This window comes from Homo sapiens, chromosome 14 (genome assembly GCF_000001405.40).
Source record: "Homo sapiens chromosome 14, GRCh38.p14 Primary Assembly".
Lineage (NCBI taxonomy): Eukaryota > Metazoa > Chordata > Mammalia > Primates > Hominidae > Homo > Homo sapiens.
In genome coordinates this window covers 75,704,265-75,731,593 of record NC_000014.9, presented here as the reverse complement: position 1 = coordinate 75,731,593, position 27,329 = coordinate 75,704,265, and the positions used below count along the sequence as shown (strand labels likewise).

Sequence of the window (27,329 nt, the reverse complement as noted above, 5' to 3'; positions counted from 1 at the left end):
TCTTTCTCTACCTTCCCAACTGTTGCAAAGAGAAAGCAAGACCCAGAAGCAAGTGTTCTTCCCAGAATGCCTGGTTTCATTTAACAAGTTCAGGGATGAGAGGTTAACTTTGAAACCCTTCTTATTATTACTGAGACTTCCTCTACAAAAATCACGGTAATGTACAGTCCTGTGTGTGTGTGTGTGTGTGTGTGTGTGTGTGTGTGTGTGTGTGTGTGTATGTATGTGTATATTTATAGCTATATCTATATATATATAAAACATCACTCCTAAACATCCCATCCTGTGACCCTCAAAAAAACTGCTTATATTTTTTCTCTAGAAGTAAACACTACCACACTACCTTCCTTACTGTTTGATCAGAGGTCACAGACCAGAGCTCACACCCACAGAACACAACGAGGTATTTTCCAGAAATTAATTCTGATACAAATTTCCTTGCTTCAAGAAGGATTTTTAAATTTCTCAATACTCTCAGAAAACAAAAAAATAGACTCTAAAAAGATGGCCGCCAAAACTCTCTTCTAGAACACAGGGAGTCTGAAGTTACATGATGTATTAAGAATCCTAGAATGAGGCCGGGTATGGTGGCTCATGCCTGTAATCCCAGCACTTTGGGAGGCCGAGGCAGGCAGATCACGAGGTCAGGAGTTTGAGACCACCCTGGCCAACATGGTGAAACCCCGTCTCTACTAAAAATACAAAAATTAGCTGGGCGTGGTGGCAGGCACCTGTAATCCCAGCTACTCAGGAGGCTGAGGCAGGAGAATCGCTTGAAACTGGAAGGTGGAGGTTGAAATGAGCTGAGACCGCACCACTGCACTCCAGCCTGGGTGAAAAAAAAAAAGAATCCTAGAATGGGAATCTAGAGACCTTAGTTGTCCCCATGATTCTACACTGTGGAACTTGGGGAAATCATTTCTCTCTCTGAGATTTCTTTGGCATCATTTGGTTTCCTTTAGCCTCTTTATTAATCACTGTCAATATCTGGATGCTATTTACAGATATATGGCAGTATGAACTCAGACATTCATATTCTAAATCCTCTAGGGAAAATTTTCCATGAATGAGTTGGCTTCCATAGTAATTATATGGGATTCCATTTAATTTGCAAAAATCATCACAAACTATACAAGAGTTTGAGATGGGATCACCTTCAAGTAACTATACAAAATTTATACATTGCCTATACATTAAAACGTAAAGAAAAGGAAGCTCTTTCATCTCTTCTTTTCGCAATGAATTCATAGCTTTTAACAGCTAATACATTCTTCTCAATAGCTGATCTAATCTTCAGTAATCTTTTAGAATATTGCCCCTTTAACCTGAGAAAAAATCATCTGTGATATAGCACTAAATAAGGCATTTAAAAGGAAAAATCTACTTGCAAAATCTACAAGTCTACATAAACATTTTATAAGCAAGAGAGAATACAACATTTGATTGACGAAAAAGAATATTCTCTTCATTGTTTAAAAGCTGAAGCACAGGATTCAACTGTTTCATAAAGTGGTAATATTATTAAAAGTAAGAAGAACAGGGTGAAAATAGTAATTGATGCACATATTGATCAGGTTTACAGAATCAGCTACAAATGAAGACAAATTCAAATCAGATTAACAATCAATGAAACCCACTATTTAAGTATCTTGCATTAAGCAGCTACAGGTTTACTTAACCATTTCCCCAAACCAGAGGCAAATTCCAAGAATCTCAGTTGACAGGCTGAGAACCAATATTCTGGGAAATATGAGGGGGGAAAATGACCTAGAGAGAAAACATCCTTCACAAAGCTAAATTAATTTTCATTTGGATGAATAAATCTTGTTACTGCTAAACAACCTCTACAGAGAGGGTGCCCAAACTAAAAAAATCCAGCCTTGAATCTAACTACATCTGTACACATACCAGGCTTGGACCTACTATCATTTAAGAGTTGGAGAAGAAATATATATTGGTATGTGACAGCATTATAACATAGTGCAAAACCCAGCTCACCTCAAAGGCTGGCATTGGTGGGGGGAATGGGGTGGAAAGATTGCTTCTGTATCAGGTTTTCCTCTTTGAACACAATCAATTCAGCTTAAGAAAAATAATTTGGGTCCTTGGCAGGCAACTAGAGTCCTTAAAGAACCTTTTAAACTTACTATTGGTATTTGGTATTTTCTATGGGCATTGAAGATTTTAAAAGGTAAAGAGTAGGTTGTGCTGAGCATAATCAACTTCCTCATCTTTTAATATTGAGTGTTTTGGCAGCAGTAACGAGAATTTTAAAAACTCAGTATCCACAATGAGATACACCAACTTTCCTGTCATGAATGGGTGCAAGCTAGCTGGGCTTTTCCAGTTCTGAGAGCTCCTCTTTCTGTGTTGTCTTTATCATGACAGAAGAGCAAGTGTTTTCAAAGGACTATTGCATGCCTTATGGAACATTTCCCCAGGACAATTTTCCTTAGTAAGAAATATTTCCTTCAGCCCCTAGCCAAACCAAAGCAAACTTAGCTTCCTACCTCTTTAATAGGGTTCCTTGAAAAAGCAATCTACACTTAACGTCTGAACTTCTTAATACCTATTTATTCCCAGCCCTAAGAATTTGCTTCTGCTCCCTCTCTAATAACTGACTGTTCTCAATATGATCACCAAAGACTACCTTATTGCTAAGCCCAAACATCTGAAACTGATGACCACCCCTGACTTACTGGAGCTTTCTTCTCCCTTGGGTTCTAGGACACTGCTCTCTTCTGATTCTCCCCTTTCCACTCCTCCTTTCCTTCCTTCTCTTCTACCCAGATATTCAATGGTAGGTTTGCTCAGGGTGACACTCTCAGGTCTCCTTCCTTCTCAATTCTAGTTTTCTCCTTAGGCAATCTCAGGTATTCTCATGGCCACAATTAATATGACGATGATGATGATGATGATAATATTCAAATCACATCTTTAGCCAAGTGTCTCCTGGACACCAAATCCATAATTCAAATTGCCTTTTGGACATCTTCACTAGGATATTCCACAGGTATTCAACACTCAACAAAATAGCCCTTGTTTTCTTTCCCCAAAACTGTTTGGTTTGCTATTATTCTTCATCTTGGAGAATGGTAACCCCATCCACCAGGCTCCAAACTAGAAACACTCTCTTACCACCTCCCAAATACAAGATATCACCAAATCTCTATCTCTCTTTCTTGTCTTTAATCTTTCTCTTTAGTCTCTTTTTCTCTCTTTTTTTTTTTTTTTTCTGAGATGGAGTTTTGCTCTTGTCTCCCAGGCTAGAGTGCAATGGTGTAATATCGGCTCGCTGCAATCTCCACCTCCCAGGTTCAAGCAATTCTCCTGCCTCAGCCTCCCAAGTAGCTAGGATTACAGGCACCTGCCACCATGCCTGGCTAACTTTTGTATTTTTAGTAGAGATGGGGTTTTACCATGTTGGCCAGGCTGGTCTCAAACTCCTGACCTCAAGTGATCCACCCTCCTTGGCCTCCCAAAGTGCTGGGATTACAGGCGTGAGCCACTGTGCCCAGCCAGTTTCTTCCTCTTTAATCTCTTTAATCTTCTCTATTCCCTTTTGAGGTATAATTTACATATGATGAAATAGTTAGATCTAAGTGTACAACTTGACAAGTCTTGATAATTGGACATATCCATGTAACCCACATGCCTGTCAGCCCACATAGAATGTTTCCATCACCCCAAAAGGACTCCTTGTGCTGCTTCCTAGTAAGTATCCTGCCCTTTCCCCCATCCCTGACAACGACTAGTCTTATTTCTTTCATCACAGATTAGTTTTGCTTATTCTAGAATTTCACATAAATGGAATCATATGGTATATACTCTTTTGAGTCTGGTTTCTTTCATCTACCATGTTTCTGAGGTTCATCCATCTATCATTGCTTTTTGTTTTCAGGCAGATTTATCAAAGTCTAATTTACATACAATAAATTCACCCTTTTAAAGTATACATTTTGGTGAGTTTTGACAAATATATGCAGTTGTCTAACACCACCACAAGACATAGGACAATTTTAACAAACATTCCCTTGTGCCCCTCTCCAGTCGCACTCCCACCCTCAGCAACCACTGATCTCATTTTTGTCTGCTTCCTGCCTTTTCCAGAAAGTCAAATAAATGAAATTAATGTAATATGTAGTTTCTTGAAACTGGCTTCTTTCACTTAGCATTGTGCTTTTGAGATTTATCTATGTTGTTATACATACCAATAATATAGTTCGTTCCTTTCTCTAGCTGAGTAGTATTCCATTATATGGACATACCACAATTTATTTACCCATTCAACAGTTGATGGACATTTGGATTGTTTCCAATTTTTGGCAATTATTAATAAAGCTGCTATAAACATTTGTATACAGATATTCGTATAAACATATGGTTTCGGTTCTTCTGGGAAAATACCTATGAGTGGGACTACTGGGTCATATGGTAAGTATATATTATCACTGCACACCTCTTACCACCTTAGTCATTTCCCTAGCACTTGCCTCTCTCAATTGTAGTCCATTCTTCAAGGCCATGAGAATTATACTTTTCTTAGAAAAACAAACTTAGCAGTCACATAGAGGTAGGCAGTGAATTGGTCCAACAACAGAAACTAATGTCAGCTTGGTTCCTAGAAGATTTTAAGTCAGTCATTGCTAGTAATATTGTACTGTATTCCCTTTATTGTAATTCTGTCATCCTAAGCTTTGGATTAAATTATGATAAAAGTTAAAGAAAAATAATAATAATCCTATCGCTCCCCTGCTCAAAAACTTCCAGTGGCTGTCTGTTAGCTACAAGATGAATTTAAACTTGTCAATTCTTTATATTCTGGCCCAAATCCACCTCCATAACCCTATCTTCTATTCCCCCATTCTATGCACGCTATATTTAGTCATACTTCTTACCATTTCAAAAAATATCACATCCTGTCATGACACTGTATGTTGCATACTACATTCTTGCTGTTAAAAATGGCTTTCTGTGGATCCCCTAGGCACAGCTAGTAAATCTTATATATTCCTAGAGCACCTGAGTCACTTATACTACTTGTAATGTCATTTATCATTTCATGTCTGCTCCTCCCTATCACTTGAGGGCAGGGTCCATGTTTCATTCATTGTTGTATTACAAGTAGCCTGCACCATAACTAGCACATAGGAAATACTTCAGAAATACTGAATGAAAAAAATATATTTTAAGTGAAAAACAATGCATAGTTTTTGAGAAAGACAAAATAATTGGCAGCCACTTCCTACAAAATAACCCTGATCACAACACTTGAAATATTTATAATAAAGCCACCAATCATAAAGAAAATAAGAGAGATTCTTAGGAAACTTTACATATTAAAGCTGTATTAAGAAAAAACCTGATAAAAGTTAGTTTAGGGAGAGAGGAGGAAATAAAGATTTTCTCAAGAAAATAATAATCCATCCAAGGCCTAATAGATTACTAAACATGTCACACCACTAATTTTGGATCAATCCACTAACTCTCCCCAGAAATAAAGTCCCAGCTGAAGCTGTGGTCCCTGAGGCAATGGAAAGTGCTGACATTAGCCAGAACTCACTGTCACTGAAATGCTATTGTATGAAGGAAATTCTTTTTACCTTGGCTTTGGATTCAAATTGAAAAAGCTAAAGAGGAAGTCTTTATATGGGGTCCAGAAGGAGAATTTTGGAAAAAAGCAGACCCACAAGAAAATGAAAAGAAAATGCCCACAGCCAATTGGTTAACTAGTCCAAGAAATCAATATGCTATCTGGTTACCAGATGTAAAGGTAGATTTGAAAGGAGTATTTAGGACTGGGTATGCTTAACTAGAGCAAAAGGAGTGTCCTTTTCAGGCCTGATCTGCTAGAAAGGATGATATCATTTTTCCTGAGTATCTAGTTACGGGAGAGCAGAGGGAGAATCCAGGATATGGGGCATGCCAAAAGTGGCCGGACTCATAAGGACATGTCTTTATGTGGGTGGAGAAAGAGCCAGAGAGAACTGGCTCCCAAATTTGGCTTTGCCATTTATTAGCTGCATGACCTAGGACAACTTATTTAACCTTTCTGAATCTTTTTTCCATGTCTATAAAACACAGATAATACCAACCAAAATTGTCGAAGACTAAAAAGAAATAACCAGTGAAACCAAATTAAAGGAAATAACCAATGTTTGCTTGATAAACAGTAGATACTTCCTACATAAGTTTCTTCTGTAGTAAACTTCCTTTCCCATCTAAACAGGAGCATATGATAAACCAAAAAAGGAGATTATCTCAAAAAGTGAAGAGATTGATGACTCTCATTATTTTTCTGTGGGTGGCCAAGTAGTTTACATTGTTGGAGAATGTACACTGCCTGCTTTCATTCCTCCAACAATTATTTATGGACATCCTCCCTATAAGAACCTCAGGTTACCCTGTGAAATGGTCAAGAATGGCAGCAACAGAAAACCAAACCAGGTATCGTCAACACAGAGGTGTACTGGGCATGGCTGGTGCGGAGCAAACACGTCACTGGGCTCTGATCAGAACAAGTCCAGGCTGATCAGTTCTACAAGTGGCTCCACAACTTGTCCCCATGATCCCAGGCCTGGGTCACAACCCATGACTTCAGCCATGCTAATACACAGAGATAAACCCACTGTCAGCAGCAACATCTTTAAAGAGCAGCGAACATCCTGTTGTTTTTGGCTGTTTTTCTTCAACTGATCCAAAAGCTATTCTCATAGCCAGTTGTATCTCACAATGCCAATTTCCTAAGCATATTTAAAGGATTGCTGTTTAAGCATATTATTTCACATGGTACCATATTTTCACGATCTTGGAAGGCAGTAAAAATTAGATTGTAAAAAATCTGTCTTATTGAGGGAGGCATAAAAAATTCTATAAATCAAAAGTCTTATGATCAAGATTATCTGATTGCCAAAACCCATCTTCTGAAGCCCCATAGATACAAGCTGAGTCATTTTGACCTGAGTTATTTCACTCACTAACTCTAGAACCTGGAACATAGAGTTCATTTCTCAGGGTTTCAATTTCTATATCTGAACTAATTATTCTCTAAGGTCCTTGCCAGATGTGCAAATCTAGGAAAAAGCATTAAATGACAAAGTTTCGGGTAGTTTGTATAGGTTCTCAAGTCTACATTTAAACACTAATAGTGCAATGGAGGTATATATATATCTATATCTGTATCTCATCCTACATAAAATTTGGTTTGAGAGGAACAAACTTGATGGTAATACACTGCCGAAAGGCTAACCTATGACTTGCCCACAGCAGGAACTGAAGAAAAATTAAATGTATAAATAAATAGGATGGGATATTGAAGATACCTGGAAACATAGTTGAACATTACAGGTGGTAGGATGGGAAAGAAATCATAGGATACAAACACTGAGATAGTAAGGGAATGCCCCTGGCAGAGATCCATAAGATGGAAGGACAGGAACAACCACCAAAAGAATATAGCGAACCCCATGTCTGGTCTGTTGGTTTCCCCTAAAAGCACCAATGCTCTGTTTGAGCCAAAATCTTCTGGGAAGCTTTCAATTCCTGTTTACTCTAAAATAAATGGAAAAAAAAAAAAACAACTAGCTTATTCCTTGTGACTTAAACCCCAGGGGAAGTTAGGAGTCAGTGGGAGGCAGAGACTCATACAAATATACACACGTATACAAAATCATATCTGATGGGATGAGGTTAATGAAGCACACAAAATCCCAGGGCTGACAGGAAGTGGAATTAGAACCACAAAAGCCAAGAAGATAGTCAACAACTTAAAAAACTCCAGATGCACTCAGTTTATTAAAACTGAACACAAGTAGGGAGGAAGAAAGGAGACCCATGGCTGATGAAATGGACTTAAGGGGTATTTCACTGAGTCAGAGAAAGTCACAGCTTCTTCCACGTCGGAACATTCTATTGCCAATAAGTTCAATAATGAAGCTCCCAAGCTTCCAAAAGGCAATCAAGTTATAAAACAAACAAACAAACAAACAAAAGGAAACATTCAGAAAAGGTTTTATAATTATTTAGAACAAAGATTTTTACAGCAAGGGATATCAGAAATTTACCCTCATATAAGAGCCAAGTAGATGTAGAAAAATAAACCTTTATTTATTATTTAAATCTAATGAGGTTTTGGAAGTTGGAGTTACGCTCCTAGTCCCAACCCCTCATCCCCATCTTCAAACAGTCTGCAATAATTCTAAGAGTTCTAGGCCATTACCAAACCAGATCCATTGGGAAGTCTACTGTCAGGCCACCAAAAAGCAATTAAAGCAAGTGCCAATCATTCATTCAAGAAACATTTCCTGAACATTCTCTAAGAGCAAAAGACGCTGACATGCAACTGGGTATGGTGGCACACACCTATAGTCCTAGCTACTCGGGAGGCTGAGGCAGGTGGATCCTTTGGGCCCAGGAGTTCAAGGCCAGACTGGGTAACGTAGTGAGATACTGTCTCAATTTAAAAAAAAGTGCTGCCATGCATGGTGGGGGCAAAACTGACGGAGATATTCTTACTGTCCTCAAGGAGTTTCCAGTCGGCTACAGGAGACAAATATACACATGACTACCAGACAACATACAGATACTATTGTAGAGTTACAAACAGAGTGCTGGGGGTATAAGGGCAGAGCAGGCTAACTCTGGGAGCATTAGAAAAAAACATCACCAAAGAAGTGACACTTGACTTTGTCTTGAAAAATGTCTGTAATTTATTAGGTAAAGTAACACAAGAAAGGTATTTCAGACACACGGTAAAACAGGTGCAGAGGTAGCAAGCGAGGGCTTACATGGTAGCTCATGCCTGTAAGCCCAGTATTTGGGGAAGCCAAGGCAGGAGGATCACTTGGTACCATGAGTTCAAGGCTGCAGTGAGCTAAATACGATTGCGCCATTGCACTCTAGCCTAGACAACAGTGAGACCCTGTCTCTAATACAAAACTAAAAAAAAAAATTTAAAAAGGGGACAAGAGAAATGTTGAAAGCTCTGGTTTGGCAGAAATAGGGTGAAATGGGAAGAAAGGACACACTGGCTGTTATGAATTCAAGAAAATAAACTCAGACACGGCTGAGTGTATGTATAAACAAAACATCATGATGTGATAGGAAAAGAGAATGATCAAACAAGCACAGAAAAGCATAATGCATAGTGAGGTCACATTTCTACAAAAAGTTTTTTAAACAATTAGCCAGGCATGATGACACATGCCTATAGTCCCAACTACTCGAGAGGCTAAGGTGGGAGGATCACTTGGGCCCAGGAGGTGGAGGCTGCAGTGAACGGTGATCATGCCACTGTACTCCACCCTGGGCAACAGAGCAAGACCTTGTCTCAAAAAAAAAAGAACAGCATGAGGGAGGAGGCAATGTGGAGAACTAAATCTTAGAAAAGAAATGGGAGCATGCAAGGCAGAGACAGAAGGAGAGTTTTTAGGCCAAACAGCAGAACTCATACAGTGGCACAAAAGCACAGAGTGCTTAGAAGTATACTATAGTACAGCTGGATTATAAGGTATATGAGGGGAAATGGAATTCTAGAAGAGTTACCTGAGTTACCTTAGAAGCCTTTCAGGTCATATCAAGTTTCTATTATACAATTTAAGCCTAAGGAACCATTTAAGGATTTCAGAAGACATGATCAGATATGTATTTTAAAAAATATATTACAACCTCTTCTTTTCCCATATAATTTTAGGTCCTGATTTATCTACCATCTTCTATTCAATCTCAACAATTCCCTTTGTTTACTGACCCTCAAATATAGCCTGTTAACGATAATCTGTTAAAGAGATCAGGAATTATGATGTCTAATTACAAAAATAACAAATAATTTTTATTGAGTACAACGTAAGGGCCAGACATTGTGTCAAGTGCTTTGCGTGCATCATCTCATTTGATCTTCATGGTATTCTCAGGAGGTAGACACCACCATTACTGCCATTTTATAGTTGAGGAAACAGGATTAGAGTAACTTGCTGAAAATCACAAAACTAGATATGGATATACATGGTTACAAACTAAGGCTGTTAGGCTCTAAAACCCATATTCTTTATTTCCCTGTTACTCTGCCTTCTAACCAAAGCACGACTCTCATATCCTTACTACCTGTATTACTCCACACCACACTTTAATCATCCTCCCCATCAAAGACCCTAGTGTATTTTACTAACAAAGCCTAACACTGCCAAAAGCCTATGTGACTTTAAACACATTCACATGGGCAATCACAAACCCATTCATTTCCACATAGGAAGCAATGTCCATAGGCACCCTCAGTGCTACCATTATAGCTAGGGGGTCAGTAGGTAACATTTCCTGATTCTGTAGTTGTGAACTGCTTATTCCTTCTCTGTGCAGTCAAGGAGTTGGGGGTGGAGTGGAAGGGGAGGAGAAGAGGAAGAGAAAGAGAAAGAGAAAAGAAAGTGGAAGAGGAATGGGAGAAAGAGAGGAGGGGGAGGAACACACTAGAAAGAAGACTCAAACAAAAAGGAGGAGTCATCGGAAAATGGGAGAAAGCACATACTGGTACCAGCCAGAGCTTCTTGGAACTGTTCCCAGCCTGGCTGCCAAGGAGCTCTGGAATATATTTGTTAGAGCTGGATTCCTGTACAGTCCGTTGCAGACTTTTTCTGACTGCACTCTGACAGAAAGACCAACACGTTCGTTCCAATCCCTGCTTCCCACACAGAAAGCTAGTTACTCCTCAGGGGACTTCTGACCAAGCTCACTATTGGCCTCTTAGTAGGCTCTTCATATGCTACATGAGCTTAGAAAGAAGAGTCCATCACATACCTCTTACTGCTATAGAATCACTAAGCCTCTCTACCCTAAAATCCCGTCCAACTTCCCAAGATCCTCTTCACAAAACATGTTAAGCTTCTTGAGTCTCCTTACCAAAACAACTGCTGCGATGAGGAACAAAGGTTTTACAGGCAGTAGCAATAGCTAGTTCAGCAGAGATTATAGTCTTAATGATCAGGTCTTCTACATGGGCCATCAATGCTGCAAACAAAAATTTTTAAATTTCAGACTCAATATCAAAATACATGGATTATGAACTGGATTCCAGATAACAATATAACTATAAAAGCATGTGTGCTCATTCAAAAAAGCCTCTATATGGCAGACTTCTGAATGGGTGCTATAGAGGCAGGCATATCTGTGAACAGATCAATACAGTCAAGAATGTAGGTGCCAAGGGATACCCTCAGGTGGCCTCTTATGACAAAAGACAGACACATAATGGAATAGGAGCCTCACTTCCCTTCTCACACTTCCCCTATGACCCTTTCCCTTGTGAAATGAAAAGTCTTTTTTGGCACACAGTTTCCCGTTCTGCTCAAGGCTCAGCAATTGTGTCCATTTTGATTTGAAGCCCTGTGCTCAAACAGTGCCCATTCTCCAACTCAGCAACATGAATGAGAGAGATTAACTTAGAAAACTCGAAACTTGGGGCCAATATGGAGACAGGCAATTTGTTATATAAAAAGCTGACCATATTTTAGTCAGCAGTTCAACATTCAAGAAGGGTAAATTCACTAAGGATTAAAAGGAAAAAGTTATGTCTTTCAGACCCGAAACAAGAAAAGGGATTTTGAGGGTAATGGAAAACCTGTTCCCCAGCTTGTCAACTGCAGGAAAAAGTAACACCAAGGACAATCATCCCGTCTCAGCAACACTATCAAAGCAACAGAGAATGATTCCTGGCAAGAGACAATGATAAAGTTATCCAAAGAAGAGAAGTCAAGAAGGAAAAAGGCCCAGTACTCACCGGTTGTATCTCTGCCTTCTTGTTTCAGGTACCTAAGCATAGCACTCATGCTCCATTTGTTTCCATAATCCTCCACTTCTGGATCGTCACAACTAAAACAAATTAATAAATCAAAGTCACATATGTAACTAGGCTTGGCTATAATAACAAGACTCTTTGCAAATAGCCTTCTTGTCTTTTTAAAAAGTTTTTTTTTTAATTCACTTTGCTGACTTCCAGTTACTCATTTTTTCTTGGTCCTTTTTGTCATATATCCTTTCATACCAATTTCTTCAATGGAAATGAAAATGCATACAGTTTGCCTTTTTCAAGAGGGTGGGGAAGAAGGCGGCAAATTCTTTCTTAACCAAACAATTATGCATCAAGAAAGAGTGAAAGCAATGTGTGAAAGAAGGCAAACAAATTTAAGAATGGTTACAACAAGTTAAAAGACAATTAACCTTTGAGGTGAATGTCACCTGAGTCCACAAAACAACCTCTGATGCCATTTTCAGACCAGAACTGAGTTGGAATGGGTGAGTGAGTTATTCTGGTGCAGCATGCTAATGAAATAACCCCACACAGAATTGCTTTGGCATCTGAAGCAGGTTCCCTCCTCTTTGGCAGTAGATATGGCTTTTCCTGATTTTTTTGAGGTAACACTGAAGGGAGAGTGCACTGGAGTGACAGTAAGAGTGAGGAGGTATACTATTGCTATGGCAGCGGAGTGGCCAATGGCACAGCCTCCCACGAATGTTGGAAGAGCCCCGCAATCTGGAACCTGTGTTTTGCAGCTGTCCCCTCACTCCCTACCACCATCCCACTCTCCACCAATTGTGCCTTTGCTCATCTTTCACAGTGGAGGTATGATCTCTTCAGTCAATGCAAATGCTGCTCACAGGATATTTGCTGAAACCTATATAGCTTCAGCAACTATTCTATCACTTCCAGATTCCTTTCTTTCTTTCCTTGGACCTGCTAGGAACCTATTTTTAGTCTGAGTAGAAAGTAACTATTTGGGTCTCTTTTCCACTTTTCCACTTTCTGGCAAAAATATCGGCATGAAAGAAAACAGAGCAAAAAGAATATTTCCACACAGCTGGGCTAGTACTCCCTTCCACTGAATCCTTTTCTGAGATGGCCTCATTTCTTTCTTTCTTTGATTTTTTCCTTTTCTTTTTCTTGATCATACAAGTATTTATTTTAGAAAAATTTAGAAAATACATAATGGCACAAAGAAGAAAATAAAAATCACCCACTCACAATCCTACCCACTATAGTTAAGCTAAATTAACACTTCGGTACTACTTCTGGTCTTTTTTTCCTCCCCCCTCAGCAAAAATAAGCAGCTTTAGATATCTCATATTCAAGCAAGAAAGTTAAGTTGCATGTGCTATCTGATAACCTGCTTTTTCCACCTACGAATACATGGTAATGAACATTCTTATCACTGATCCTGTGTGTACATCTTTTATTCCTTAAGGTTAAGTTCCTAGAAATGGAACCATGGGGTCAAAGGGTACAGACATTTTTTAAGCTTTTGATATGTTTGCCAAGTGCTGAAATGACCTCATTTCTTAACTTCTAAAACGTTCCATATGCCTATTAAATTCCCATTCCTAAGTCAAGTGAGGGAAGGCAGTGAGGAAGAAAAACTTGTGAAGGCACATTTTGGTAGAGAAAGGTGACACCGTTAACCGGGGAGGCAATGGAGAAGCAGCAGGAGATATGCCTCAACACTGTTATATGACTGACAGATTTCCATAAATGGTACATGGACATTAATGTAAAGTTGTCCTCCAGTGCCACATGTTACCTTTCCACCTCTACAACACCCACATCTGAGACTGACACCTCTGACTTCTGGCTCAGACACAGCCAGTACCTGACGTAATCTCCACTTTTCTTGTTGACACTGTAGTTTGTCAGATGCATGAACTGGTTCCGAATGTTCTTGGCTCCTTGATCATATCGCACAGTTGCAAACCTGATAGAAGGGAAACAGGTTAAATGCCAGGAACAGAGTTTCAAGGAAATACAGGCTGGAACTGAGGATCAATGAGATAATAATAAAGGAGGGTAATATCATTACCTAACAAATACCAAGTGCCTACTAAGTGCTAACTCCCATTCTAAGTGTTTTATAATGTCATACTTAATTCAATCCTTAAAGCAACCCTATGAAGTAGATAATATCGTATCCAAGTTGAAAAACAGATGTGAAAACTAAATGTGGTCTATTAAATAACTTGTTCAAGATCACACCAACTCCAAAACCCATGGACTTAATCACAACAAGACATTGCTTCTCTTATATAGAACATTACACCAATAGGAAGAATGAAAATTGAAAATATAGCTATTTACAACCTGGGAAATTGTGTGTAGGATACTGTGAAAGATGCAGCATTAGCTGGTCCAGAAATAACAACTGGCTGGGCATGGTGGCTCATGCCTCTAATCTCAACACTTTGGGAGGCCGAGGCAGGAGGATTGCTTGAGCCCAGGAGTTTGAGACCAGCCTAGGCAACACTGCAAGACCCTATCTCTACAAAAAATTAAAAAATTAAGCAGGCGTGGTAGTGTGCACCTGTAGTCCCAGCTACTTGGGAGGCCAAGGTGAGAAGACTGCTTGAGCCCAGGAGACAGAGGCTGCAGTGAGCTGTGATCGCACCACTACACTCCAGCCTAGGCAACAGAAACACCGACTGAGTGCCCACACAGTGCCTGGTACTATAGCATTCAATGAAAAAAAAAATAAGCAAAAAGAAAAAATGACAGCACAGCTATATGTAGGCTTAGAGCTGACATCCATAGAAAGAATAGAACTGATCCATAATACTCATTTAAAAAGAATGATAATGACAGCATTAACAGCAGACAAAGCAAAACGGCATAAATATGGGCACAGTGCAAGAGACTTAGTCCTGAATTTGAAATGAAGGCAAAAGAGGAATTAAACATGGAGCCCACTGAAAACAGGGTAGCAATTTGATATCCCGGACTGTTGTCAAAAGAAGACCAAAGTATAAAATACATGTGCCTCTGAAGGAAGTAACCAGGGAAAGAGAGAACTTTCCAGTGATGCTCAATATCAACAAAAGGATGCTCAGTATCAACAAAAGGACACTCAAGGCGAATGGTTATGGTAGATATCAACCCCTGTTTACATACCACTGTAACCATATCACCCTTCACTAGAGTGGTTTTCCCAAGAGGCATATCCAAGTGTGTGAAAAAAAAAAGAAGGCCACAAGTTTATTTTCATATGACTTACAAATTATTTACATATGCTTACTCAGACTATGAAGTCAACATGAATTTTCACCACATTAAAGGTCAGCATTAAAAAACTTTCCTCTTCTCTGTTTCTTCTCATCCACCCACTATCTCCACTCCCTAATTCCCTGTACCAGAAATATACAAGAGCCAAAGAAAGAATAGTGAAAAGAAAAAAAACCCCAAACCCAAAAAACTAAAATAAACAAACATGAGGCTAGGAAAAAGGATGTGGACAAAGAGAAAATGATGACTAGGCTAAAAGACAAGAGTTTGATGAGCATTATTATGTCTGTGCTTGAGAAGGACCCCAGATTTTCTAGAAACTTCCAACTTCCAGTAGTTATCACTTAACTTCTAGCCATGTCACACCCCAGTGCCCTGGTGAGTAACCCTTGCCTATGCATCCCAATCTTCCTCTAATAGATTGTCCAAGCAAGTTGCAGACTGTCATTCTCTGAATTCTTGTGAGATGCAAAGGGGCCCCGTGCTGGCTGCCTGCCTCAGCCAGACATTACCTCAAGGTGACATCCCTCCTGTCATCCTCTCCCCTCAAAGAACAATGAATTAGAAGGAGGGGAAAGCTTCTGCTTCAGAAAAAGAGGCTTTTCATCTCTTGTAGTTACTACAAGTACTTGATCTAACTTGGTCAACATGAAAAGCCTGACAAAAGTCTGTGGTGAGCTGGAATCGGGTACCAACACATTTGTCATTCCTATATTCTTTTTTTCAAGAGGGCTGCACATCTAAAAAAAAAAAAAATCATGTTTCTTCTTCCTAATCTTCCTTTTCACTGGAGCATTTTATTCTGAACCCCAGCAAGGATAAGATTTCTAATATCAAAGCGTGGAATTCTAAACTGAGTGTATGAAGCAGAAGCAGCAAAAATTAAAGTGAAACAAAAAAGCTTAAAGGAAAAGTTCCCCTGAAGGGTGAAAGTGCTCCACTCCATATCTCCCTCAGTCTAGTGGGGAACATACACTATGGAGAGAAAAGGTGTGCATGTTCATCTTTCCTCCTACCCCAGTAAGAGCTTATAGCTCTCACTAAAATCCATAGTAAATAAGCCATCATCATCATCTGACCACTATTTTCTTTTTTATTGTCTAGACCACAGGTCACATTAGTCTTGAATGTGACCTACTGGTCAAGTTCTGATTAACCTACAAAAGCTTTGTTTTTTCTTTTAAACTTTAATTACCTGAACAACATATAAAAATCAGACCTTCCTTCTTGCAGCCCAGGGGTAGCCAGGGCCCACATGAGGAAGATGGTGAGTTACAAAAAAAAAAAAAAAAAAAAAAGGAAGATGGTGAGTAGGGTGGGAAGTCAGCCAGAAGCACAAGGAGGTTTTCTAAGCAGGGAGGCCACCAAATAAGGGTATAAATCCATATAAAAACGGCATCTGAATGGGACAGTGGCCCAGTGGGGTCAGGAAACTGGCCACATACAAAGGAATTGAGCAAATAAATAAATATGTTAAAGATACTGCGAGCCAGATTTCCTGCTGTTGGAAAAGAGATTTTAAAATATGAAAAGCAAAAAACAAGAAGGAACTCTGTAGTTTTGAACTAGAATTGTGCGTACTAGTATAAACTTCTATTTTTCAACAATACATTAGAGACAGATATAGAAATACAGATGTACAAGTGTATATGTACATAAATACATAATTTCCTAACTCTGCTCATGGCCAGGGTCTGAAAGCAGAAATGCCCCAAAACAATGAGCGTATCTAGCACCCAGATATTGATTTCTAAATATTATACTCCAAGAAAAAGCAACCAGTGCTCCTTGGAGAAATGGTTGATTCCAGGGATAGAATAGAGAAAGAACAAGATGAGCCTGAAACATCTTGTGCTCAAAGAATGATAAAGACATGTCAAAAGGACACAAAGCCAGCTTGAGAGGTCTCCCACTGGCCAAATCTGGGACAATTTGAGCATCAAAATAAATCATGATAGTAAAGAATTATAACCCATTAAATAAAACAGGAACGCTTGAGTCTGCATTGGTATAAATAAATAGATGAATAAATAAACGAGAAGATAAAGCTCTTCCTCACAGAAAAATGCCAAGAAATAAAAGTTATGATGGAATTAAAAAATCATCATTTGGCAACTATTACAGCAATAATTCATTAAGGCAAGAAAAATCAATAGATTTTTCTTAAAAATGAGAAATGAGATGAAGAATGAAATTTTACATGATTTAAAGTATCTCCTTATAAAATACTTACTAATTACAAAGGGTAAGACCAAATAATTTTACAGTGGAGGAATCTAGCAGATGACCTAAAGCAAATGGTCAAACACCACTAAATGACTAGCATGTGCCATCACATATAATGCAATGACAAGAATTAGTATCACTTTTGTGGTATTCTGGCCCCAAATGCATTACCTAGGTCTCTTCATGAGAAAATATCAGACAAGCCCAAACTGAGGGACAATCCACAAAATGACTGGCCTGTAATCTTCAAAAATGCTGAGATCATGAAAGTCAAAGAAAGACTAAGGAACTGTTTCAGACTGAAGGAGACTACGGAGACCCGACGGCTAAATACAACATGTGATCCTTGATTGGATCCTTTTGTAATTAAAAAAAAAAAAAATCTTAGGACAATTGGCAGAATTGGAATGAGATCTCTAGACATAGGGTAAAAGGTAATTTTTCATATAATTCTTACAGCTCTGACAACTCTATAAGTTCAAAACGGTTTCAAAATTAAAAGTGTAAAAAAGTGCTTTGTTTCACAGTAAAAATCTACATGTTCAAGCCTCACTTAACAAACCAGATCTGGCAATACCAGTATCAGCTGCTGGCACTAAATAGTAAATGCCTTTAGATGAGACATGTACTCTCCATTCTCCAGTCTCCACTCTTCCTTCAGTGAATGTACTTGTGAGCATTTATGTTAGTGACCTTTGATTTAGACCATCACATATTATCAAATTTCATCTTCTCTAGGTCTGAAGTTTCAACACCATTTCTCTATTAACAATAACCTAAAAGAGCACTATTTACTAGGTACCCCAGGACCAAGTTTGCACATACAACCATTCGTCACTTAACAATGGGGATATGCTCTGAGAAATGCATTGATAGGCCAATTTCATCGTTGTGTGAACATCATAGAGCGTATTTACACAAACCTGGATGGTATAGCCTACTACACACCTAGGATAGATAATACAGCTTCTTGCTTGTAGGCTACAAACCTGTACAGCATTGTACTATACTGAATACTGTAGGCAACTGGAACACAATGGTAAGTATTTGTGTATCTAAACATAGAAAAAGTAATACATTGTGTTATGATGTTACAATGTCACTAGGCGACAGAAATTTTTCAGCTCCATTACAATCTTATGGGATACCATAGTATATGTGGTCCTTCCTTGCCCATTGTTATAAAGCACATGACTACATGACCACACTTATCCTAATGTAGACCAAAATTTACACGATGGAGTCAGTCTTGTATCTCCCTCTTAATGAGATCAAGATTTAGGAAAGTTCTCACGACAGACCTTTAAGGCTTTGACCTTTAAGCTAACAAAAGGTGGGAGAGTTCCTACTTTCTTTGTTAAATTTGAAACCCTAGGTACTATTTTGCAGCCTATTGATGAATATAGAACTATTTGCCGCCCCCTCCCCCCTTTTTAACCACAATGAAAACAAATATGAATTGTTTTGGACAATATCTTTATTTTGACAATAAATTTTTAAATCACAAGTTACATTTCCTTTTCGCTTTCTAATGTTTCTCACTGAGAATCAAGATAGTGATCAAGATAATTTGATCAAGAGAATCAAGATAATTTGTCTAAAAGTCTGAATGTCTGTGTGGAGAAAAGATTTCAATGTTTGGCATATGGTAGGGACTTGGCAAACATTAACTGAAACTGCACTGGAGTTGCTTGCTCCAAGATCTTTACCAATATGGAACCAAAACAAGAAGGAAAGCAGAGAGTTAGTGGGATCTTTTAAACTCTCTTCCCCTATTCAAAAACCAGTTTGTTCTTCTAAGAATATGACCCCACATGTTCTTTTTTTTTTTTTTTGTCCTGCTGTTTTCTTAAAAACTTTTTTTTGATACCAATATCTTCTTATGGTCAGAGTCACAGGCATTCTAGATGTAGAAGCTTAACATCCTCTTTGGTAGTTATATTTTCTGACAAACATTCACTACAAATGTACCAAGAAAAGAGAAGGCCAGCCTCGACCTCGCTGTGGCACATGAGTTATCCTTCAACAGGTGTAGGCATTTTGAGTCAGAGAGGCCTGGACAATGAAGAGACAGCACCTCAGGCAGCCTTGCCAGGAGCCACTGGGTTTCATCCTGGCCTGACCCAGAAAAATCTTATGGAAGAGAACAAGAGGCCCAAGAGCTCTCTGATCTGCTGTCAACCAGCTGCAGCCGGGAGACTGCCAAAGCGCTGCAGTGACTAGGCAGCGCCCTACAGAGCCGTCTGGGAGGGGATTACCAGCCTGATCCCTTGTCTTTAGAGCCAGAAATGACTCAAACTTCACAAACAGCAAGGGCCTGCCAGGGAGGGTGACAATGAGCACTGGAAAGGGTTTTCTCCCCCTTGTTGGTGTCTCTTCCCCCCTACTTGCTGCTGTGGCAGATTCTGGACAGTGTGCAGCCTGTGAGGTAATCTGAATTCCTTGGCAACCAGCAAGTACCTGAATTCTTTCAAAACCACAGGAATCCAGCAGAGAAAAGGTAAATATCCCTGCAGAGCCAGTGTTAATTAGCAAGGAAGGCTACTGAAGAAGGAACTGGGGGTGGGGAGAAAGGGAAAGGCACTACAAATGTTTTGGGGTCTTTTCTGAATTTCCACTGAATAATATGGCTGAGGCAGAAAAAAGGCCATTCCAACCGGGACCTTCCCAGAATCCTCTCTTCCCACCTCCGCCGCATGGGTGGAACTCAGCTCCCTGGATGGATACTTGCATGCCCCCCAAGTTGCTAGAGCTGCCTATCTTTGGGTCTCTGGCAACATATTTAGTTTTTAACTCCATTTTGTTTTAATTTTTTTGAAATTTTTATTTTTCCTGTTTCAGTGAAAATCTGGCTATTAGCTTCATCTCAGAAAGGGCTCTGTCAACTCATCTAAACCCAATACTGGATCCACCTAAAGCTGTAAAATCCAGGACAAAATCTTTTTGGAGTCCACCCCTGACAGGAAAAAGAATCTGCACCATTTTGGTAGAGCATAGCACCCCTCTGTGGAAACTGAGTGTCCCCTGGTGGTGCAAAACAGCAACACGCAAGTAAAATTCAAAAGCACAGGGGACCTCTGAGGGCTACTGTGGGAATCACAAAAAGCTGCACCCAAATACCAGGGGGACAATTGCAACACTTCTTCAATACTATACCCACACATGAGAAAACAGTGAGAGCTCTCCCACTTCTTATGTTAATAAAACAATAAGGACAACTGAAAACACTCATCTATACAGAAACTAGGGTTTTCACGAATTTAATTTTGTGTTAAAAAATTTTACACAAAATAACTTATATCACAAAACTGTCTTGTGAAATGAATTTAATCTTTCTGTCGCCTAGTATTAATTTGAGGTCCAAAACAGAAGTGATAGGGTGTAAGGGAATTCATTTCTAAAGAAGGAAATGAATTGTATTTGCCTCCTGTTCCGTCTCTTTAGGAAAGATTATGGTTTTTCTTGTTGAGCCTCAACGTAACCCAATAATCTCATCCCAAACTGATGATCTTCAGTTATGTCTACATAAATTACATGTGGCCCAAGATAACTAAAAGCTGCAGATCTGGAGATGCTACAGACTATCGACATAGTTGAACAGACTCTGAGGGTTACAACAAAGCAAGTGAATGTCAAGATACATAATTAGTGAAGACACAAGAACTTAGGCACATTGAAATTACTGCACGGAACAATGTGCCCTCGCAGGACTCCCGCAAACAGTGCATCATATTGCCATGCGTTATGCTTTTGTAAAGCTTTGATAAAGCTTTTATATTCACCTACACTTTCAGGTAAACCTAACCAAAGCCCTGAAAATTCATGTGGCTTTCTGGTTCTACTTGGTCTGAGTTTTTTAAAAGCTGTTTTTCTAATTATTCTGTGAAAAAACATCCATTGTGTGTGTGTGTGTGTGTGTGTGTGTGTGTGTGTGTGTATAAATTTTTTTGTTTCTGCTGGAAGCAAAAGGGTTATACTTAATTCAGTAGATTCTGACTTCCAACACACAACCAGTAGCCAAAGCACTTGCATATTTGTAGTAAATTCTATAATAAACATTGGTACTGTTGTTCTCATGTTGTGCTCTGAACCAGAAAGGTCTTAAAATTATGCCAAATTTTACCCATAGAGAGGGCTGTTAATATTGTAGGTGAAAATATCTTTGGAATATTAAGCAAAACATATTGCTATGATGTCCTTGAGAAACAGTGAAGCACAACCTCCATCTCTTTTCTCTATTCCCAAAGTCCAATTTTTGGCAGGACATAATCAGTTTCTAAAACTTGACACAGGAGAGAAGTGAAGGTGAGGATGAGCAGAGGAAGGAGAATGATGAAACTCATAACACAAAAGAGAGAAAGCTCAGAAGTCTCAAATTATAAAGCTGAAAATCCTCAGAACCTTGCATATCTGAGAAGTCAGGACTGTATTTTACCATCATTTTGTTTTAAATAATATAGGGAATAGGCTTTTTCTTGGTCTTTTTTTTTTTTTTTTTTTTTTTTTTTAATGAGATGGGGTCTCACAATGTTGCCCAAACTGGTCTTGAACTCCTGGCCTCAGGCAATCCTCCCGTCTCGGCCTCCCAAAGTGCTAGGATTACAGGTGTGAGCCACCACGCCTGGCCAGGAATAGGCTTTTATACCTAATTTTGTATAGTGATACTTCAAAACGTGAGAGCACGTGTGTCTACAAATATTATCGACAATTTCTTTCCTATAAAAACCTGATTAGAGCTAGTAGTCAGCTCATGTTCAGATGCCTGGTCCAGCCCTTTATCTAATAACTGCGAGATGTTTCAGTTCTTCCCTTTCTCAATTTTCAAGGAAGAGGCCAGAACTAGGGAGTTTTGGTAGTCTCCAATGTTCCCAGGGCTCAAACTCAAAATCTCAGTTAAGAATATGACAGGACTTATAAATGCTGTGACTGCCACCTAGAGGCGAACGGAACACAGAGCTCCACCAGCGAGGTTTGGTTAGTCTGCTCTCACTGATTTCAAGTCATAGGATACATGTGAAAAAAACTAAGTCTCTAAAATCATTAAAAGACCATTCTAAAATAATAGTTGTCAGAGTACAATAATATCTGTCAAAGCACCTGTACATAAATAGGTAGCCTTCTTTTATCCATGGTATTTCCCATCTTCCAATTGCATTTTCTAAAATACAGAAACATACACAGACCAGGCTTTTTTAGCTTGTCGTGACCACTCACAGATGCAAATCACCTCCTAAACTGCTATGCTTTATAACAAGCTTGTCCAACCTGAGGCCCACAGGCTGCATACAGCCCAGGACAGCTTTGAATGTGGCCCAACACAAATTTATAAAGTTTCTCAAAATATTATGAGTTTTTTGCAATTTTTTTTAAGCTCATCAGCTATTGTTAGTGTATTTTAGGTATGGCCCAAGACAATTCTTCTTCCAATGTGGCCCAGGGAAGCCAAAAGATTGGACACCCCTGCTCTATATCAAAGGCACTACGCATAAAAAGAACTTCAGGGCAAACTAGTTGGCTAATACAAAAATTTAGTTTTGTTGGGGGGAAGAACACAGCATAGTAGTTACATACTTATTTTAAACAATTTAAAGGGTTTACAAAAACAATTACCTGTAAAATTCTGTGGCTAGAGGAAACAAAACTTCAAAATATAACAACTTGAACTTAATCTTGTAAGTCACATTACCTTAAAACTTAGAAAGCACCTCAACAGGCCAGGTGTGGTGGCTCACACCTGTAATCCCAGCACTTTGGGAGGCTGAGGCAGGCGGATCACGAGGTCAGGAGATCGAGACCATCCTGGCTAACACAGTGAAACCTCGTCTCTACTAAAAATACAAAACATTAGCCAGGCATGGTGGGGGGCACCTGTTGTCCCAGCTACTCAGGAGGCTGAGGCAGGAGAATGGCGTGAACCTGGAGGCAGAGCTTGCAGTGAGCCGAGATCACGCCATCTCAAAAACAAACAAAAAAAAGCACCTTAACAAAAAGAGAACAATGTATGTACAACCACTGTAAAGTAACTTGCATGTTAAGGAAAAAAAAAAAAACCCTCAATTAATACCTTCCAAATATGAGAGGGCATGAAATTGTCTGAGCCCTGAGCTCTGGAGTCAGATCCATGAGGTCAAATCCCCATTCCACTTCTCCCACCTCTAAATCTGTTTCCTCAACTGCAAAAATGCATCAACTAAAAGGTTGTTGCGAGGATGAAAATAAATGCCTGGCATATAATAGGCAAATACAGGTAGGATTTTATTTTTCTTTCTACATCTATCCTGAAGAATAACAGCAAATTATCTTAATATCCTAGGAGCTTCATAACAATTGTCACTGCAGGAAAATACCATATGATCCTGGATCAGTGCTGGGGAAGATGTTTACACACCTTATGTGTGGACATGCAGTGAGACTACAGACAAATAAGCCTAATTTCTGAAGTTCTTTTTAGGCATACTGGCTTTGATGTTATAGAGCACAGCAGTTGAGGAGGTGGATTGCATCTGTAAGCAGTAATGACAAGTAAAAATAGCATGATCTGATTTAATAAACTTGTTAATGGATCCACTCTTAATATACCCACCCTTAATATACCCACCCAACCCCTTCACCCCCAAACAGCTTCTTACCTAGCCAATCCTTCTTCATAGAGATAGATGACAAGAGGATCATAGGAAGTCACGAGCACATAGAGGCGCACGTCAAACTTGAAATCTAAAAAAAAAAAGTTTGTATTCACAAAAAAAAACTAAGTTCATTTGTTTCCTGTTACAGAATAAACAACGAAACCAAGAAACATGAAAGAAAGAACATTCCTACACTCCACATGAAACACACACTGCTCACACACCTTGACTTCGGAGGATAACTAATAATTATACTATATAATTGTACCGTATACATATTATGTATATAGTACATAATAAAAACCGTATAATGTATATATACATTAATATAACTGTAATGTATATATAATGCATATGTGTGTCATTTTCATATATATTAATTACTGCACAATTTTCATACATATACTACTATATAACCTATAAAGCACTTTCTCTTATATTGTCTCATTTCACCTTCAGATAAATCCCGTGAGATAGGTAAGGAACCTGCTGCCTTTCTGGAGCCACACATGTCAAGAATTTCACAACAGTATAATAAAGACTTACTAGAGAAGGCTATGAAAAGCTTAAAAAGTTGAGCAAAAATCTGGCCCAATTTGGTCAAGGGCCTAATCACAACTCACCATCTATGAGCAGGGGGTTGTTAATGTAACGGGAGACCAAAATGTTCTCTTCCAGGGAGATCTGGTTTGGCTATTGAGTAAAGAGAAAGAATGAAAGAATAGAAATACACAGGAATCCTAATTTACAATAAGGGAGCAAAGTTCTTAACCTTTAAAGAAATGGTAAGGTGGAAAACTAAAATTCTGGTTAAAGTTTCCTCCAAGGTACCCATATATTCAGTTGGCCATATAATATCACTTCTATAACACTATAGGCATCCAATTACGATGCAGGAAAAATAAATTTACACAGTACCTCTCACATAATAAATAATAAATAAATAAATAAATAAATAAATAAGCCTAATAGCCTTAAAGATGTATATACATGATATTAAATAGTTACCTGCCAAGAAAATAAGAGCCACTTTAAAAATAAATGAAAACTTGCTTTCTCCCTGAAGTATAATGGAAATTTAAAAATACTACTACTATTCTTAAATGAAGGCTTTCATTAACATGTTTGGAGAACTTACAGATCCACAATGGATCCTAGCATTTTCTCTGTAAAATGAGATAGGTGTTTAATTGATTCACTTAAGGGTATTTGCTAAGCAACTGTATGCAAAGAGTGAATAAGGTCTTTAAAAGATTTCTTCAATGAAAAACAGTTGTTTATACAATAAATAGAAAAGTACTGTGGACACTGCATATGGCACTGGGGATACCATGATGAACATAACACATATAATCTCTGCCTGGCAGATTTAAGATTCAGTAAATCCCTATCCCTGAAAAGTTTAATATTTAGGTAGAGGAACAGCAAAATATAGAATTTAAAAGAACACAAAGCAGCATTTCTATAAATACAAGATGCCAGGTTACAAAGTTAAAGTGCAGACCAATCAGGTGGGACCAGTCAGGGAAGACTTGTCCCAGAAGAGTAGATGCAGAAATGAGTGAAGGCTGGGAAGCACATGGTGGAGAAGAAAGGAGCCCATCATCGGAAGATGGCACGCACCAAGCCCAGTAGAAAGGAGGGTGGGCCGATTCACAGACCTGGGGCTAAAAGACTGAACTGGGAAATTATGAAAGACATGGTTAAACAATGAGGAGGGAGGTACCCTACTGACAAAGGGATTTGAACCCCTGGCAAAGGGAGTTTATATTTAGCATGGTGGGAAGCAGGAAATTATTGTGGATTCTAGATTAAGGAAACAGCAAGATTAAAATATCTGGGAGAAAAAAAAAAACCTTCACATGTGATTAGATAAAGCTGGAAGTCACCACAATCCATGTAGGACAAAAGGGCTCCAAAAGGGAAGTGGTAGTGATAATAATTAGGTTGATAATAGCTACAGTAAAGGCAACAGAAATAACCATCAACATTTGCAGACACAAAATTTAACAAATGTACTAAACACGTGGATGTGCCAAGTGCTGTTCTAAGTCTGTTCACAGGATTATTTCATTTAATCCTCACCCAACCCCATGAGGCAGGTATATCACCATCCACATTTTATAGATTAAAAAAGAATCAGAGTGGGTTAGGGACCTGCTCAAAGTCACGGAGCTAATAAGCAATAGAGCAGCAACGGAATCCAGGGAGTCTTCCTCACAGGCTTCGCTTTTAGGCTTTATTCTTACCTCTTCCCAATATTCTGCTCTCAAATTTAATTGTCCCCCAAATTCAAAAGTTTGTCTTTATAACAATGCATTTCCTACCCTCAATACTACTACTGTTTTTCATATGATAATTTTGTGACCTATAACATTATACACAACCAGTATGAGCAGCTCTGAAGTCAGAATGAGAGTCCTCTCTCAGTTCCCACTGCTGCTATCTCAAAGTCAGAACACAGCTTTCACAACCCATCTCTACGCATCATAGGAACACAATGACATCATTACTGATTCATCCCTAATGAACTTCATCATCCATACCATTTCCTGACTCCCTTACATTTCTTGATCAGCTTCTCGTAAGTACTATCTCCATTTTGAATCTGCTCAATGAGAATTGATGCAATCACTATACAGCTGCAGGCTATGTTGTAAACGTAAAATCAAACAATCACAGCTCTCTTCCTACTGAGTAGAACCTATAGGCTACAATAAATATCTACTCACCCAACTTTTCTCCACAGCAGAGAATATGCTGATAGTGGTCATCATTCCATGACACATCTAACGCCCATGCCCATTTCCTCTCCTCCCTTGCTCACCATACACATTTATCCTTTGAGTTACACGTAACATAAACCCTTACAATATTTAGGTAACTTTACTATGTGTTCTATTGTCTTTATCCCTCACTTCTATCCGCATTGGGAATTAAACTGTAGACTCCCAGAAGAAAAGAAAGGTTTGGATATAGTTTCTTTGCACAGCGTTACAGACTGAAGAGCAACTAAGAAAAACTTTTTGATATCTTCAAGCCTGTTTCCTTTCATCAATCCCCAGTTAACTCATTTCAAATTATTCCAATTCAAAGCTCAAACTGCCTCCCAAAGAATGCTGAAGTAGGAATCTGAATTGTTGGGAAAGTTGGAAACACATCTTTCTTTTCTAAGACAGCATCTCATTTCTTCGCCCAGGCTGGAGTCCAATGGTGTTATTTCAGCTCACTGCAACCTCCACTTCCTAGGTTCAAGCAACTGCCCTGCCTCAGCCTCCCCAGTAGTTGGGATTACAGACACGTACCACCATACCCAGCTAATTTTTGTATTTTTAGTAGAGATGGGGTTTCACCATGTTGCCCAGGCTGGTCTCAAACTCCTGGCCTCAAGTGATATGCCCGCCTCAGCCTCCCAAAGTGCTGGGATTACAGGCATGAGCCACTGC

The 27,329-nt window shown here is 39.0% G+C and overlaps 1 protein-coding gene across 1 annotated transcript in view, besides 1 other annotated feature; it reads right to left on the bottom strand.

The window, feature by feature from the left end:
- The window catches only part of TTLL5 (tubulin tyrosine ligase like 5), a 293,834-nt gene that overhangs the window by 223,486 nt on the left and 43,019 nt on the right, over positions 1-27,329 (bottom strand). The window contains exons 8-12 of the mRNA NM_015072.5: positions 24,507-24,576; positions 23,887-23,971; positions 13,632-13,733; positions 11,768-11,859; positions 10,891-10,998 (exon numbers count right to left, since the gene is read on the bottom strand). Of these exons, the coding sequence (NP_055887.3) occupies positions 10,891-10,998; positions 11,768-11,859; positions 13,632-13,733; positions 23,887-23,971; positions 24,507-24,576 (457 nt within the window). The remainder of the gene's footprint in view (positions 1-10,890; positions 10,999-11,767; positions 11,860-13,631; positions 13,734-23,886; positions 23,972-24,506; positions 24,577-27,329) is intronic.
- Positions 19,606-19,715: an enhancer, noted in NCBI's record as "active region_8763". NCBI's record gives its function as "activates an Ori minimal core promoter by ATAC-STARR-seq in GM12878 lymphoblastoid cells {active_cell/tissue: GM12878}" and the evidence as "EXISTENCE:reporter gene assay evidence [ECO:0000049][PMID:35858748]".